We start from the raw sequence: 15,281 nt of genomic DNA, 5'->3' as shown, positions 1-15,281 counted from the left end.
GCAGTGAAAGCCCTTTGGAACCTTAGAATACGGTGAGAAATTCCAGGAGCACAGAAGTCAGCGGGCATCTCCTGGAGACAGGCAGACATTTGGTCTCAGCAGCCATGCCCAAAGTCATGAAGGATGTTGTGCACCCCTTGGGGGGAGAGGAGCCTAGCATGGCGAGAGCTGTGGTTCGCAGCGTGGGAGGTTTTACCCTGGGCTTGTCTTTAGCCACGGCCTACGGGCTTCTGGAGCTACTGGTGGAAGGCCACAGCCCCTGGGGTTGCCTGGTGGGCACCCTCACTTTGGCTGCCTTCCTTAGCCTGGGCATGGGATTCTCTCGCCAGGTCCGAGCCACTGTCCTCCTGCTGCTGCCTCAGGCCTTCTCCAGTGAGCTTGGCACCCAGGGCTAGGGGGCAGGTCCTGGGGCTGGTGCTGGGGCAGAAGAGATGCTGGAGGAGAGGCAGGGGTTAAGGGAAATATTCTGAAGGCTTATGTAAGGGACTTGCTGCCATGTTTGGGGCTGGGGTCTTGGTTCTAACAAAGCTGTCGCCCCCAGGGCAGGGCCGGACACTACTGTTGGTGGCTGCTTTTGGGTTGGTGCTTCAAGGGCCTTGTGCCAACACTCTACGCAACTTCACCCGGGCCAGCGAGGCTGTAGCCTGTGGGGCAGAGCTGGCCCTGAACCAGACCGCCGAAGTGCTACAGAGGGCCAAGCAACCTCTTGTCAGTAAGTCCCCCACCTCTACCACTGTCTCCCACGGGCCCCCCTCGCCCCCCTCATCCTGCATGTTCTACAGTCCTTTGGCCTCCTTCTCTGCTGGTGCTAATCGCGGAGCATCTGGGCCTGGAAGGGACTCTGGGCACAGCTAAACCCTCTCTCCTTGCTCTCTGGCCTCCTCCACTCCCAGATTAACGATCTCCCAGGCCCCAGAATCCAGGCTTCCCGCCTCTGGAAATGGTGGCCTCCTCTCTACTCCCTGCTTAAGGGGCAATGGTGAGAACCAGCCCCTAGAGGAGAAGACTCCAAAGTGCCTCTGTCCCTCACCCATCAGGTGCCCTGAACAAGATTAAAGCTATTGCCCGGAAGACCAAAGAGGTGGCTGACCGGGTCCGCAAGTTCTTTCGGTCAATCATGGATGGTGTGAAACACATAGGTAAGCACATTAGCATGTCTATCCCGGGGACTCAAAATGCACCCAGTCCTGGCCGGGTGCGGTGGCTCATGCCTGTAATCCCAGCACTTTGCGAGGCCGAGGTGGGAGAATCACTTGAGCCCAGGAGTTTGAGACCAGCCTTGGCAACATGGCGAGACCCTGTCTCTATAAAAAATAAAAAAATAGAAAATAAATAAAACTAGCCAGATGTAATGACACATGTCTGTAGTCCCAGCTACTGGGGAGGCTATGGTGGAAGGATCTCTTGAACCCAGGGGTTTGAGGCTGCAGTGAGCTATGATCGTGCCACTGTACTCCAATCCAGCCTGGGTGACAGTGTGAGACTCCATCTCTAAAGAAAAAAAAAAGCGGGGGGGCCAGGTGCGGTGGCTCACACCTGTAATCCCAGCACTTTGGGAGGCTGAGGCGGTGGATCAGGAGGTCAGGAGATCAAGACCATCCTGGCTGACATCGTGAAACCCCGTCTCTACTAAAAATACAAAAAGTTAGCCGGGCGTGGTGGCACGCAGCTGTAGTCCCAGCTACTCAGGAGGCTGAGGCAGGAGAATCTCTTGAACCCAGGAGGCGGAGGTTGCAATGAGCCGAGATCACTCCACTGCACTCTAGCCTGGGCAACAAGAGCGAAACTCCATCTCAAAACAAAACAAAACAAAACAAACAAACAGAAACAAAAAAATTCAGTCTCCTCACCTGTACCCTGTCCAGGGTTTTTTGGGCCCCTTCTGGGCGCTGGCTAGTGTTCACTGGACACAGCACAGCCAGGTCCCTGACCACAGGCCTCTCCAGCCCTGGATACTGTGGTATTGTTCCCCAAAACCCTGAGAAGAGGCTGTAGGATTCCAGCCCTGGGTGCCAACCCTGCAGCTGTCCCCAGCCAGGGCTCTCCGGAATGTGTGGCAGTGGCTCCTGCACATCGGCGATGTGTGCAACTCGGAACTGGGCAACCCTTACCTGAAGTGTGCACGGGTTTTCGATGATGCCAAGGACAGCTGCATGATGGTCATACCACAAGCCTACCACCTGTGTTACGTGCTCATGCCCTTCAAACTGGCGCTCTGTGGACTTGCCAGCCGTGAGAAAACCAGGGTCTGCCAGCGGGGAGGAGCCGATGTGGGGTGGGGTGGGGTGGGAATGTGGGGGTCAGTTGGGAGGGCAGGCTCAGGAGGACGATTAGAGGGCAACAGAGAGGAACCAATAAGCTTGGTAGGACCAGTATTGGGGGTGGGGGTGGGCAGTAGGGAGGGACTGGTGTTGGGAGAGAAGGGCGACAGGGAGGTGCTACAAGGTTTTGAGCAAATGTGGAGGCCAATAGGAAAATCGAAAAGAGGCCCTGTGAGAAGAGGTCTCCAGAGGTCGGGGGCAGGCCTGGCTGTGCCCCTCCTTCCGACACTCAGCCGACTCCGCCCCTCAGTGGTCCAGGTGTTCTGCGTCATCCCTAAGTACATTCAACCCTTCTTGCGCCAGACCATCGGCACCCGTGAGTGACCCCCTCCTGCCACATATGGTGCTCCCTAGTGGTCTCCCTCCCTCATCCCGGTGTGGCCATGGCCAGCCCCCAGTGCTCCCAGCCCATAAAGGAGAATGTAAGAGAAAGAAAGGGGCTCAAGTGATCACCCAGGCCCATATCCATGCTGTACAGATCAGGAAACGGGTCCAGCGAAGGGCCAGTGCCTCACCACAGCCTGCCCTGAGAGCAGGAGCTGGGAACAGAACCAGGGCCTCCTGTCCACATTCAGGTCCACACTCAGGTCATCAAGATCATTCCTTAGGGGCATCTGTTGCATGCCCTGTGTCATGCTGGGTGCTGAGCATGTGATGGCGATGGCACAGATACGTGGAGGCTTTGTCCCCTCCTCAGTCCACCTTGACCCAAGCACTGGGGGGTTCCCAGCTGGTCTGTAAGCTGCGCCCCCTGGGCTGTGCCAGGCCCCTCCCCAGGGGCAGCTCCACCCTCTCCTAACTCTCCTTGCCCACGTCTCCCCTGAACCTGCTGGCCCCAGCCGTGATTCAGTTGCTCAACCGGGTGCGTCAGGAGTTTGAGTTCAACATGACAGCCACCCACCACTTCTCTGTGGATCTCAATGCCTCTCGGAGCCTGTCCCAGGTAGCCATGGACCTCCACGAGGCTGTCAGCATGAAGCTGCACCGTGTCCGAGAGGCCCTGGCTCTGATGGGCTTCACCACGCCTCTGCTGCTTGTGCTTCTCTACCTCCAGTGAGGGGCTGCCGGGCAGCGTGGGGGATGCAGGGCCGGGGGTGCAGGGCCAGGGCTGCAGGGAGCAGCTCATTTCTCCCTGCCCCAGCATCCAGGGAGGTTGAAGTTGTGGGGTTGAAGCGCGGATGCCCTGTGGGGTCTGGCCTGGGGTCCTAAGGGGCCTCACATGTGCTCCACCTCCCCTTCCCAGAGCCCTATTTTACCGGTATTGTTACCTGAACTGGGACCATTATGACAATATCTACATCACTAGCCGATTCCTGCGCATGGAGGCTGTGCGCTCCACGGCAGGGCTGCCCACAGTGCTACCGCTCAGTGCTCACGAGGCCAGGCGCTACATCCCACCGGGTGAGGGCCCTGAGGACAGGGAGAGCCCAAGCCAGGGAGGCCAGGGCTTCCCCCCACCCCGCTGCCCTGCCCCTAAGCCCCTGCACAGGCAGGGCTCAGGATGGGCTTGGGGCAGGGGCCAGAGGGAGGAGACACAACCCAGAGCTTAAGGAACTTTCAGGCTGAGGGAAGACACTGCCCGGTCCTTGGGGAGCCCGCAGTCTGAAAGGGGGAACATAGACACCCTTGGAGAAAGTAGCCAGAGACAAGAGGGGCAGATGGTGCTTCTGGGAGCACCCTGGACATCAGGACAGCAGGGGATGGACACAGAGCGAGGGAAGTCAAGTTGGGAGGGCTTCCCCGGGGTGGGCAGGAAGTGCTAATATGGAGGGGGAGGACTGCCTGTGAGGTGGGGAGGCAGGTAAGGGGATGAGGGATGCCCTAGGAGGGAGGGCTCCTTAGACTGGAATGGGCCACAGGGCCAGGTGGAGATGCTAGGCAGGCCCCTCCCTTCTAGCCACGGAGCCCCCTCCCCTGAAGAGTATTTTCCATCCTTGCCAGAGTCCTCACAGCTTCTTTTCTTTTCCGTATTCCTGATGAGCAGACGGGCCCACACCTGATTAGGGGCAGGAGGCCTCTCCAAGAACTGGGATCTGGTGGACGGGAGAACTGGGGAGCATCCTCCTGACCATCCCACTCCTGCTCAGGCTCCATCTTCTTGTCCCAATGGGAGAAGTTTTTTTACATTCTGGAGACCTTCAACCTTATCCGACACCTCCTCCTCGTGCTGTTCCTAGTCTTCCTAGACTATGCTGTCTTCTGGGTGCTTGACCTGGCCCGGCACCAGCTGCAGGGGGAGATTGTGGCCCGCAGTGAGTGCCTACGTGACAGCCTCCTCCCACTCACCCACTGCAGCCCCCTCGGCCTGTTTCTGATCTCCCCGCCTGCTCCCAAGCCTTCTCCTCTTCCCATCCTCAGTCCTGGTGACTGCCTGAATGTCCCCATGTCACTGTTACTCAGCAGCCCACAAGTGTGCCACTCTTTCAACTCTATGCTTTGCCTAGTAACACCTATGTCTAGGTCAAGATTATAACTTACAGAGTAGTTAAAAATGCAAGCTCTAGAGTCACACTGGCCAGGGTTCAAATCCCAGCTCTGTCCTTTATTAGGCGGTGACCTTCAGCAAGTTGCTTAACCTCTTCAGCTTCAGTTTCCTCTTTTTTTTTTTTTTTTTTTGAGACAGAGTCTCGTTCTGTCACCAGGCTGGAGTGCAGTGGCGCCATCTCGGCTCACTGCCTCCGCCTCCCAGGTTTAAGTGATTCTCCTGCCTCAGCCTCCTGAGTAGCTGGGACTACAGGCACATGCCACCATGCCCAGCTTATTTTTGTATTTTTAGTAGAGATGGGGTTTCACTGTGTTGGCCAGGATGGTGTTGATCTCTTGACCTCATGATCTGCTGGCCTTGGCCTCCCAAAGTGCTGGGATTACAGGTGTGAGCCACCATGCTTGGCCTTTTTTTTTGAGATGGAGTCTCACTCTGTCACCCAGGCTGGAGTGCAGTGGTGCAATCTTGGCTCACTACAATCTCTGCCTCCCGGGTTCAAGCAATTCTCCTGTCTCAGCCTCCCAAGTAGCTGGGACTACAGGCACATGCCACCATGTCCAGTTGTATTTTTAGTTGAGACGGGGTTTAACCATATTGCTCAGGCTGCTCTCGAACTCCTGACCTCCGGTGATCCACCCACCTCAGCCTTCCAAAGTGTTGGTATTACAGGCGTGAGCCACTGTCCTGGCCCAGTTTCCTCATCTGAATAGTGGAATAATAATGGTAGCAACCTCTCTGGGTCACTGTAAGGAATAAATTAGATTATGTGTGTTGGGGCCAGGCGGGTGGCTCATGCCTGTAATCCTAGCACTTTAGGAGGATGAGGCGGGTAGATCACCTGAAGTCAGGAGTTTGAGACCAGGCTGGCCAACATAATGAAACCCCATCTCAACTAAAAATACAAAAAATTAGCCAGGCGTCGTGGCAGGTGCCTGTAATCCCAGCTACTTGGGAGGCTGAGGCAGGAAAATCACTTGAACCTGGGAGGCAGAGGTTGCAGTGAGCCGAGATCCTGCCACTGCACTCCAGCCTGGGCAACAAGAGTGAAACTCTGTCTAAAATAATAATAATAAAATAAAATAAAATAAAATAAATTATGTGTGTCGAGTGCCTGGTAAGCCATTAATTGAGAATGTGAGCCAGGTGCGGTGGCTCACGCCTGTAATCCTAGCACTTTGGGAGGCTGAGGCAGACAGATCACCTAAGGTCAGGAGTTCAAGACCAGCATGGCCAACATGGTGAAACCTTGTCTCTACTAAAAATACAAAAAAATGAGCCAGGCATAGTGGTGGGCACCTATAATCCCAGCTACTTGGGAGGCTGAGGCTCAAGAATCACTTGAACCCAGGAGGCAGAGGCTGCAGTGAGCCGAGATCACACCACTGCACTCCAGCCTGGGTGACAGAGTGATACCCTGTCTCAAAAAAAAAAAAAAAAAAAAAAAAGAAGTAAAAAACTCCTAAAAAACAAAAACCAAAACCCCAAAACAAACAATAAAGCACTTGGTTAAGTGTCTGCTACACAGTCAGTGCTCAGCCAATAAATGTTTCTGGGGGTCTTACTCGGTGGCTCACACCTGTAATCCTAGCACTTTGGGAGGCTAAGGCAGGCGAAGTGTCTGCTACACAGTCAGTGCTCAGCCAATAAATGTTTCTGGGGGTCTTACTCGGTGGCTCACACCTGTAATCCTAGCACTTTGGGAGGCTAAGGCAGGCGGATTGCTTGAGCTCAGGAGTTTGAGACCAGCCTGGCCAGCATGGTGAAACCCTATCTCTTTACAAAAAAAAAAAAAAAAAAAAAATAGCCGGTCGTGGTGGCACGTGCCTATAGTCCCAGCAACTTGGGAGGCTGAGGCAGGAGAATCACTCAAACCTGGGAAGTTGAGGCTGCAGTGAGCCAAGATCACACCACTGCACTCCAGCCTGGGTGACAAAGTGAAACCCTGTCTCAAAAAATAAATTAAAAAAAAAAATAAATGCTTCTGGGTGGTCATGGAGGCCGGGGGGTGGACTCACTGACCATTAAGGTCATCTTAGATATGGTGGCTTGGATAGGAAGACCAGACACCAGTACCACCCAGTTGGACCATGGGGCCAGTCCTAGGAGCCAGAACTGAGGTCAGGCCCCAGGGCACCATGAGGGTGCCTGAGGCATCAGAGGCCCCCAGCCAAGGGTCTGAGTCATCCTATGACCTGCGCTGCTCCACTTTCCTCATTCCAGAAGGTGTGGGGTTTTCTGCATAGCAACTGCCATGAGTGTCACTCACACAGTGTCTTTGTGCCAGGTCCTGTGTTGGTGTCTCTAACCGTGGAAGGTACTGGCTACGCTGGGAATATTTATCGTGACCTGGTGTCAGCATTTGATGTCCTGCAGCAAGGCAACATCAGTATTTTGTCCCGGCGTTGTCTCCTTCGTCCCTCGGAGCCTGACAGCACTGGCTACATAGTCATTGGTATCAACTACACCCTGAGGTCCCTGGGGGCGTGGACACCATGTGGGAAATGAGGGGTGCAGACTGCTGAGGATGTGGGGGGCGCCAGGGGTGGGCTGGCACTTGTGCCTGCTGGTGAGGCTGACTGTGGCTGCTGTGCTCCCAGGCGTCATGTATGGCCTATGCTTCTTCATCACCCTGTTTGGCAGCTATGTCAGCCGGCTGCGGCGAGTCATCTGTGCCTCCTACTACCCATCCCGGGAGCAGGTGAGGGGTCCGGGGCTGGGAGCTAGTCCCTGCCCCCTCCCCAGGGGGCTTAGCTAGTGGCTGGCTTTTTTGGCTTTGGGAGCTGACTTCCTTCAGCAGCCCCAGCCCGCTCTCCTCTGGTTGAACTCCAAAGCAAATGACCTGGACTGCAAGCCTCTGGACCCAAGATGGGGCTGGGAGAAATGGTGCCTCTGGGGTGGGGCTTCCTGAGACAGCATTTACATCCAAAGTTTTGTTAAAATCACAGGGGTGTTGAGGGGGTGGGGGATGAGGGACGGGGGAGAGTTGGAGAGTGGAGCAGGCAGCATGGCTCACACCTGTAATCCAGCACTTTGGAAGGGTGAGGCAGGCAGACTGCTTGAGGCAAGGAGTTATAGACCCTTTCTGCAACAAAGTGAGCCTCTGTCTCTATTAAAAAAAAAAGAAAGAAAGAAAAAAAAAGAAAATAAAACGCCAGGCATGGTGGTGTGTGCCTGTAGTCCCAGCTACTAGGGAGGATCGCTTGAGCCGAGGAATTCAAGGCTGTAGTGAGCTATGATTGCACCACTGCACTCCAGCCTGGTAATGGAGTGAGACCCTGTCTCAAAAAAACAAAACAAAACAAAACAAAAAAACATGGTGGTGAGGTGGGGGCAGTGTTGGCATGTTGAGGTGTAATTAAAAACTCACCATCGGGGCTGGGTTTGGTGGCTCATGCCTGTAATCCCAGCACTTTAGGAGGCCGAGGTGGGCAGATCACAAGGTCAAGAGATTGAGCCCATCCTGGCCAACATGGTGAAACTCCATCTCTACTAAAAATACAAAAATTAGCCGGGCGTGGTGGCACGTGCCTGTAGTCCCAGCTACTCGGTAGGCTGAGGCAGGAGAATTGCTTGAACCCGGAAGGTGGAGGTTGCAGTGAGCCGAGATTGCGCAACTGCACTCCAGCCTGGCGATAGAGCAAGACTCCATCTCAAAAAAACAAAACAAAACAAAACAAACAAAAAACCCTCACCATCGGTTTACTCATTTACTAATCATTTACTGAGCATGTACTGTATTCCCCTATCTCTTTGCCAGTCTCCAAGGATGCCAAGATGAACCAGACACAGTCTGGAGCTCACAGATTCGAGGCAGGCCAGACAAGCTTTCTTTTCTTTTTTTTTTTTTTTTTTGAGACAGAATTTTGCTCTTGTTGCCCAGGCTAGAGTGCAATGACACGATCTCGGCTCACCACAACCTCCGCCTCCCGGGTTCAAACGATTCTCCTGCCTCAGCCTCCCGAGTAGCTGGGATTTCAGGCATGCGCCACCACCCCAGTTAATTTTGTATTTTTAGTAGAGATGGCGTTTCTCCATGTTGGTCAGGCTGGTCTTGAACTCCCGACCTCAGGTGATCCACCCGCCTCGGCCTCCCAAAGTGCTGGGATTACAGGCGTGAGCCACAACGCCCGGCCAGACAAGCTTTTAACAAGACGTTGTAATTTAAAAAGCACTTTTATTTAGGAATGAATAAAAGTGTTATGGAAACCCAGAGGAGAGAGTGGTAACTCCACCTGGGCAAGTCCAGAAGACTTCCCAGAGGAAGGGGCATTTGAGCCAAACCTAGAGGGATTCATAGGAGTTGGATAGAAGGAAAAGGTAGGTAGTGGGTGCAGAGGGCATTCCAGGCAGACAAAACAGGGTCAAGTGGGACCCCATCCCTGATCTCCCCGCACCAGGAGAGGATCTCCTACCTGTACAATGTACTTCTGAGCCGCCGAACCAATCTGTTGGCTGCCCTGCACCGATCAGTGAGGCGGCGGGCGGCTGACCAGGGCCACAGAAGTGCCTTCCTAGTGCTGGCCAGTCGGTGAGGCCACTGTCTTTTCTATAGGGGTGGGGCAAGAGGGGATAGAAAAAGAGCCAGGAGTTGGAATGGATTTCTGTGCTATCTAAGTGTCAAGAGATTTGGTTGAAGAGAATGCCCATTGCATACCCTTAACGCTGTGAAAGGTGGGAATTCTTTTTTTTAATTTATTATTATTATACTTTAAGTTTTAGGGTACATGTGCACAATGTGCAGGTTAGTTACATATGTATACATGTGCCATGCTGGTGTGCTGCACCCATTAACTCATCATTTAGCATTAGGTATGTCTCCTAATGCTATCCCTCTCCCCGTAAGGTGGGAATTCTTAGGGGTGAGGAGTGAAGGGAGGAAGGAAGGCAGGGCCATGGAGAGGTTGCTGCTGAAATCAGAGGGATGGAGGATGTACTGCAGGAAGTCAGGAAGTCCTCCCTGCCATTTGGAGGTTGGTGCTGGAGTGGGGAGGGTTAAGCTGGCTGGGCTGGCCTGCTTAGTGTCTGTGACCCTTTTCTCAGGTGCCCCTGCCTAGGTCCATTTGTCAGCCACTTTTGGCTGCATCAGGCCTACTGCCTGGGCTGTGGGCAGCCCCAGGATGAGGGAGACATGGAGAACACTGTGTCCTGCAGTACCCCCGGCTGCCAAGGTGAGACCCCCTGGGGCGTGTGCCTCTCCCTGCTCGGACTTACCCCACTTGCATATGACAATCCACTGTGGTCCTTCCTTGATGGACTTCTCTTGTACCTCATCTTTTGTGCCCCTCCCTTCATTACTATGCACGTTCTCATTTACACAGAGCCTTCAGGTAGCTCATTTTCTCCATGCTTGCCTTTATTCTCCCGGGTATTTATGAATAGGATTTATATGCAAGTGGCATTGCAGCAGCTCCCTAGTGTGCACCCCTTGACAAGGATGGTTCATCCAGGTCTGTGATAGGGGAGGCAGGGGCTGGCAACCAGGAAGCACAGAGGGTGGGTGGGTGAACTCGGGTTCACCTCCATTCCCCATGGCCTCCACCAGGTCTCTACTGCCTCACTTGCTTCCGCCTCCTGGACAATACCTGCTCCGTGTGTGCATCTCCCCTCTCCTACCAGGGGGACCTGGACCTGGAGCTGTGAGTCTTTCAGTGACATGGGGTGGCTGGAGTCTGTAGGGGCAGTGGAAGTAGGCACCCTTCTCCCAGGATGTCTGCAGGCCACTGAGATGAGAGTCTTCTCCAGGGACTCCAGCGATGAGGAGGGCCCTCAGCTATGGCTGGCTGCAGCTCAAAGGAAGGACCCTGAGCAGGCATGGTTATTGCAGCAACAGCTCCAAGAAGTGCTCGGCAGGAGCCTCTCAATGGAGTCCACTTCCGAGTCCAGGTGAGCAGGAAGCAGGAGTTGGCACCTGGGAATTGTGAGTCCTAAGCATGTTCTGTTCCATTTGCAAAGGCCTTCCTGGGTGTCTGGACCTTTGCCAGGGCTTGAAACAGACATGAGGGGAGGGGAAGTAACTGAGGTTTGCCAAGCGGCTGCTCTGTGTCAGCACCGTGGCCCAGGAGGAGCTCACCATGCCCTTGGGGAGAGTGACATCGAATAGATAACAGGGTGGACAGCACCCTGATAAAGGAGTGAAGTACACTCTGGACAGCACAGAGGACACAACAGCCAATTTGGGAAAAGGGGCATATTAATGAAGGCTTCATAGAAGAGGTGATACATGAGCTGGATTTTTGTTTTGTTTTGTTTTGTTTGAAACAGGGTCTCACTCTGTCACCCAGGCTGGAATGCAGTGGTGCAATCCCAGTTCACTGCAACCTCGACCTCCTGGGCTCAAGTGATCCTCCCACCTCAGTCTCCTGGGTAGCTGGGATGTCAGGAACACCATCACACCTGCCTTATTATTATTATTTTGTTATTATTATTATTTTGTAGAGACGGGGGTCTCACTATGTTGCCCAGGCTGGTCTCAAACTCCTGAGCTCAAACCATCCTCTCGCCTTGGCCTTCCAAAGTGCTGGGATTATGGGATTATAGGTGTGAGCCATGGTGCCTGGCCACGGGCTGGATTTTGGGGGCAACTTGGTGGTTTGTTAGGCTGAGAAGTAGAGGAAAGCATTCCAAGGGGAGGCCTGTGTGGGTTTGGAGAATGTGAGGCATTCAGAAGGGTAGAGCCCAAGGGATGGGTGTGGCTGGGTAGAGACCTCAGAGAATGCTGGGAGATGAGGTTGGAAGTCAAGGTGGGAAGAGATGGGCAAGAACCTTAACTTGTCATTTGAAAAGCTTAGGTTGGAAAGTGATATGCTCATATTTGTCTTTTAAGACCATAAGCGGGCCGGGCACGGTGGCTCATGCCTGTAATCCTAGAACTTTGGGAGGCCGAGGTGGGTGGATCACCTGAGGTCAGGAGTTCGAGACCAGCCTGGCCAACATGGCGAAACCCCATCTCTACTAAAAATACAAAAATTAGCCGGGTTTGGTGGTGCATGCCTGTAGTCCCAGCTACTCGGGAGGCTGAGGCAGGAGAATTGCTTGAACCCAGGAGGCAGAGATTGCAGTGAGCCAAGATCACACCACTGCACTCCAGCCCAGCCTGGATGATAGAGTGAGACTCAGTCTCCAAAAAAAAAAAAAAGACCATAAGCAAAGAAGGCAGAGTGGAGGTTGGGCAGGAGCAGGGAGGTCAGAGAGAAGCTTGTCTTAGTCTAGGAGAAGTTCGTGATGGCCTCAGTACTGAAGTGCTGAGCGTGACTGGGATTTCTATGCTTGGGCCTGGGCAGGTGTTAGGGCAGGAAGATAAACAGGTTCTGGGGAAAGACGACTGGCCCAGTTTGAGATCTTTGAGGTGTCTGTAGGGCATCCAGCTGGAGATGCCCAGGGGGGCAGTTAGAAAAGGGCAGGGATCCGGGCTGGAGGTATATTTTTGGGGGGTTAAGTTAGAGACTGTAAGAGAGAGGATGAGCTAGATCATCCTGGCAGAGGGCATGGCAGGAGAGTGGGAGGGGACAGGGAGGGGAGAGGCTCAAGAAAGCAGGAGAGCCAAACATATGAAATCAAGTAGGGGGATGGGCACAGTGGCTCACACCTGTAATTTCAGCAATTTGGGAGGCCGAGGTGGGCCGATCACTTGAGTCCAGGAGTTCGAGACCAGCCTGGGCAACATGGCAAAACTCCATCTCTACTAAAAATACAAAAACTTGCCAGGGCATGGTGGCTCACGCCTGTAATCCCAGCACTTTGGGAGGCTGAGGCGGGAGGACCACTTAAGGTCAGGAGTTCGAGACCAGCCTGGCTAACATAGTGAAACCCCATCTCTACTAAAAATACAAAAATTAGCCAGGAGTGGTGGCACGCACCTGTTAGTCCCAGCTACTCAGGAGGCTAAGGCAGGAGAATTGATTGAACCTGGGAGGTGGAGGTTGCAGGGAGCTAAGATTGTGCCACCGCATTTTAGCCTGGGTGACAGAGGGAGGATTGGTCTCAATAAATAAATAGGTAATAATACAAAAATTAGCTGGGCATGGTGGCGTGCATCTTTAGTCCCAGCTTTCAGGAGGCTAAGGTGGGAGGGATCACTTGAGCCAGGGAGGCTGAGACTGCGGTGAGCCAAGATTGCACCACTGCACTCCAGCCTGGGCAATAGTACAAGACCCAGTCTCAAAAAATTAGAAGATTAAAAAAAAAAAAATCAAGTAGGATCATGTGAAGACAGGTGACAGGCAGTTAAGACATCACTGGAGTAGCTTGTGGGAATATTTTTCATGGCATCGGGAAGACCAAAACTGGATCTGTCATGATGGGTTGAGGGGTGTCAGGTAAAGAAGACTCAGAAAGGCTGGGTGTGGTGGCTCACGCCTGTAATCCTAGCACTTTGGGAGGCTGAGGCGGGCAGATCACTTGAGGTCAGGAGTTTGAAACCAGCCTGGCCAACATGGTAAAACCTTGTCTCTACTAAAAATACAAAAAATTAGGCATGGTGGCAGGCGCCTGTAATCCCAGCTACTTGGGAGGCTGAGGCAGAAGAATCACTTGAACGCGGGAGGCGGAAGTTGCAGTGAGCCGAGATCGTGCCACTGCACTCCAGCCTGGGCGACAGAGCAAGACTCTGTCTCAAAATAAATAAATAATAAAAGGACTCAGAAATATGGTATGTGGCTCCTGCATCACTGTTGCCAGGAGTTTGATAATGCTTTTAATCTAATGAGTGCTGTAGTTTGAAAAAAATGTAAGCTTGATGGTGAAGAGAAAGAGAGAGTTAGCTTCACAGAGCAAGAAAGTAGCTTGAAGGGGATTCAGCACTAAAAGGGTTTTCTAGATCTAAGAACAGGAAGATTTGAGCATTTAGGCAGTGTAAAAGCACGTTGGGGAGGGAGGTTTGGGCTCCAGGGCCAGGTGGACCAGGTGGCCTGCCTGAGAAAGGAGCAGGCTGGCAGAGGCAGAGGGGGAGAGTATAGGTTCCCCTGAGCAGCTGAGCCCACTCCAGCCTGGTGGCCTCGCTTCTCTTTGGGGAGTAGGAGGCAAGAGCACCTGCTGAGAGAGCAGAGCAGGCAGCTGGGAGTGGAATAAAGGTTTCAAGGAGTGGGTGGTAGAGGTTGAAAGACCTGCCGTGGCAAGTGTGCAAAGAAGCCGACTAGGGAGGTTAAGGGATTTCCAGGTAGCGTCAAAGGCCCAGATGATGCTGGAAGCTGTAACTTGTAATGATTGCTCCAGTGCGCTCAGTTATGTGATTTTCTCTGGCAAATGTGGTAGCCATGAATAGGATTCACAGGTGGAGGGCTTTTTCTGGGCAGGTCAGGAGGACAAGATGGAGTGAGAATTGAGGTGTCTTTGGTAAGAGTGTCTGAGATGACTGGGGAAGAGGAGGGGCTAAGGCCCCTGGGGGCAGCCCAGGGTCTCTGTCTTGATGACGTGTTAGAGCAGGGGCAGTGGCCAGGAGGGAGAGCTGGCTGAACAGGAGGGACTCAGAGAGGGGGCCATGGCCAGGGAAGAACTCTGGAATGAATCCAGTGAAAGGCCAAGGCTGAGGAAGACGTCTGAGTGGGAACAGAGATGACGGTCAATAGAACCAAGGAGGTTAGGGATTGAGAGGCCAGAGAATTGGGTGGGTCCTCTAGCGACGAGGTTGCAGGACCATACAAACAGCAGGAGTCCAGAGCCGGCATCTTAAACAGATGTGGCAGGTGTCTGGCAGGCCTGAGGAGACAGCCACAGCACTGGTGGTACAGCTATCATGGCAGCCAGGGGCTTTGCAAAAAAACACTACGGGCCAGCTGGGTTTGAGAAGGTTAAGCTGCCTCCTCTTGGGAGGACTGCAAAGAAAACTGTCCAGTGGGCACATTCCAGTGTGAATGGGGCGGTAGAGGTCATGATGAGTCAAGAGGTTGAAGGGGAAGCAAAGCTTTCTTTTCAGAGGTTCTAGAGGGCCCAGTGAAAGGATAAGCTGGGTCAGCAGAGGGGACAGCTTGAGCCTTGAGCAGGTGTGACTACTGAGGTCACTAGTGATTCTGCCCTTCCTAGCCATGTGGCCTCAGGCAAGTCACTGCCCACCCCCCAGCATCAGCCTAAAATCAGAAAATATCTACAGCCATGGGCTGGTACGCCTCGTGGGCCTGAGAGAGCAGGAGTTGCTCAGAAAGAACAGGAGCTGGATCTGAACAGATGGGGCAGGGCAGGGGGCAGGGATGCACCTGTGAAGACAGAAGGTGGGTGATCCGGCCACCCCCTTCCTCTCCTCACTAGTGACCTGGATGAGGAGAAGGGGCCTCAGCAGAGGAAGCACGGGCAGCAGCCCTTACCTGAAGCCCATCAGCCTGTCAGCATTCTCACCAGCCCTGAGCCCCACAGACCACCTGAGACATCCTCCGCCACTAAAGGAGCCCCCACTCCAGCTTCAGAACCCTCAGTCCCTCTCTCACCTCCCTCTCTTCCTGATCCTTCCCACCCACCCCCCAAATAAACCAAAAGTGGACACAAGT

General features: G+C 53.6%; 1 protein-coding gene across 5 annotated transcripts; it reads left to right on the top strand.

The window, feature by feature from the left end:
- Positions 25-15,279, top strand: DCST2 (DC-STAMP domain containing 2). 5 transcript variants are annotated; one of them, NM_144622.3, is made up of 15 exons: positions 25-372; positions 542-712; positions 1,038-1,139; positions 2,035-2,232; positions 2,572-2,637; positions 3,161-3,374; positions 3,565-3,722; positions 4,409-4,573; positions 7,091-7,258; positions 7,404-7,504; positions 9,204-9,334; positions 9,847-9,974; positions 10,349-10,442; positions 10,549-10,689; positions 15,046-15,279. In NM_144622.3, the coding sequence occupies exons 1-15, from the start codon at positions 105-107 to the stop codon at positions 15,260-15,262; spliced, it is 2,322 nt and encodes a 773-aa protein (NP_653223.2). In that variant the 5' UTR covers positions 25-104; the 3' UTR covers positions 15,263-15,279. The 5 variants fall into 5 exon arrangements, with proteins under 5 accessions (NP_653223.2, XP_047301527.1, XP_011507490.1 ...); XM_047445571.1 differs by lacking the exons at positions 10,549-10,689; positions 15,046-15,279 and adding an exon at positions 10,186-10,253 and having other exon boundaries at positions 10,349-10,438; XM_011509188.3 differs by lacking the exons at positions 25-372; positions 542-712 and having other exon boundaries at positions 1,052-1,139; positions 2,039-2,232.
- Positions 15,280-15,281: the final 2 nt, after the last annotated feature.

The sequence above is a fragment of the Homo sapiens genome, chromosome 1 (genome assembly GCF_000001405.40).
Source record: "Homo sapiens chromosome 1, GRCh38.p14 Primary Assembly".
Taxonomy (NCBI): domain Eukaryota; kingdom Metazoa; phylum Chordata; class Mammalia; order Primates; family Hominidae; genus Homo; species Homo sapiens.
This window is presented reverse-complemented; position numbering and strand designations above follow the sequence as displayed.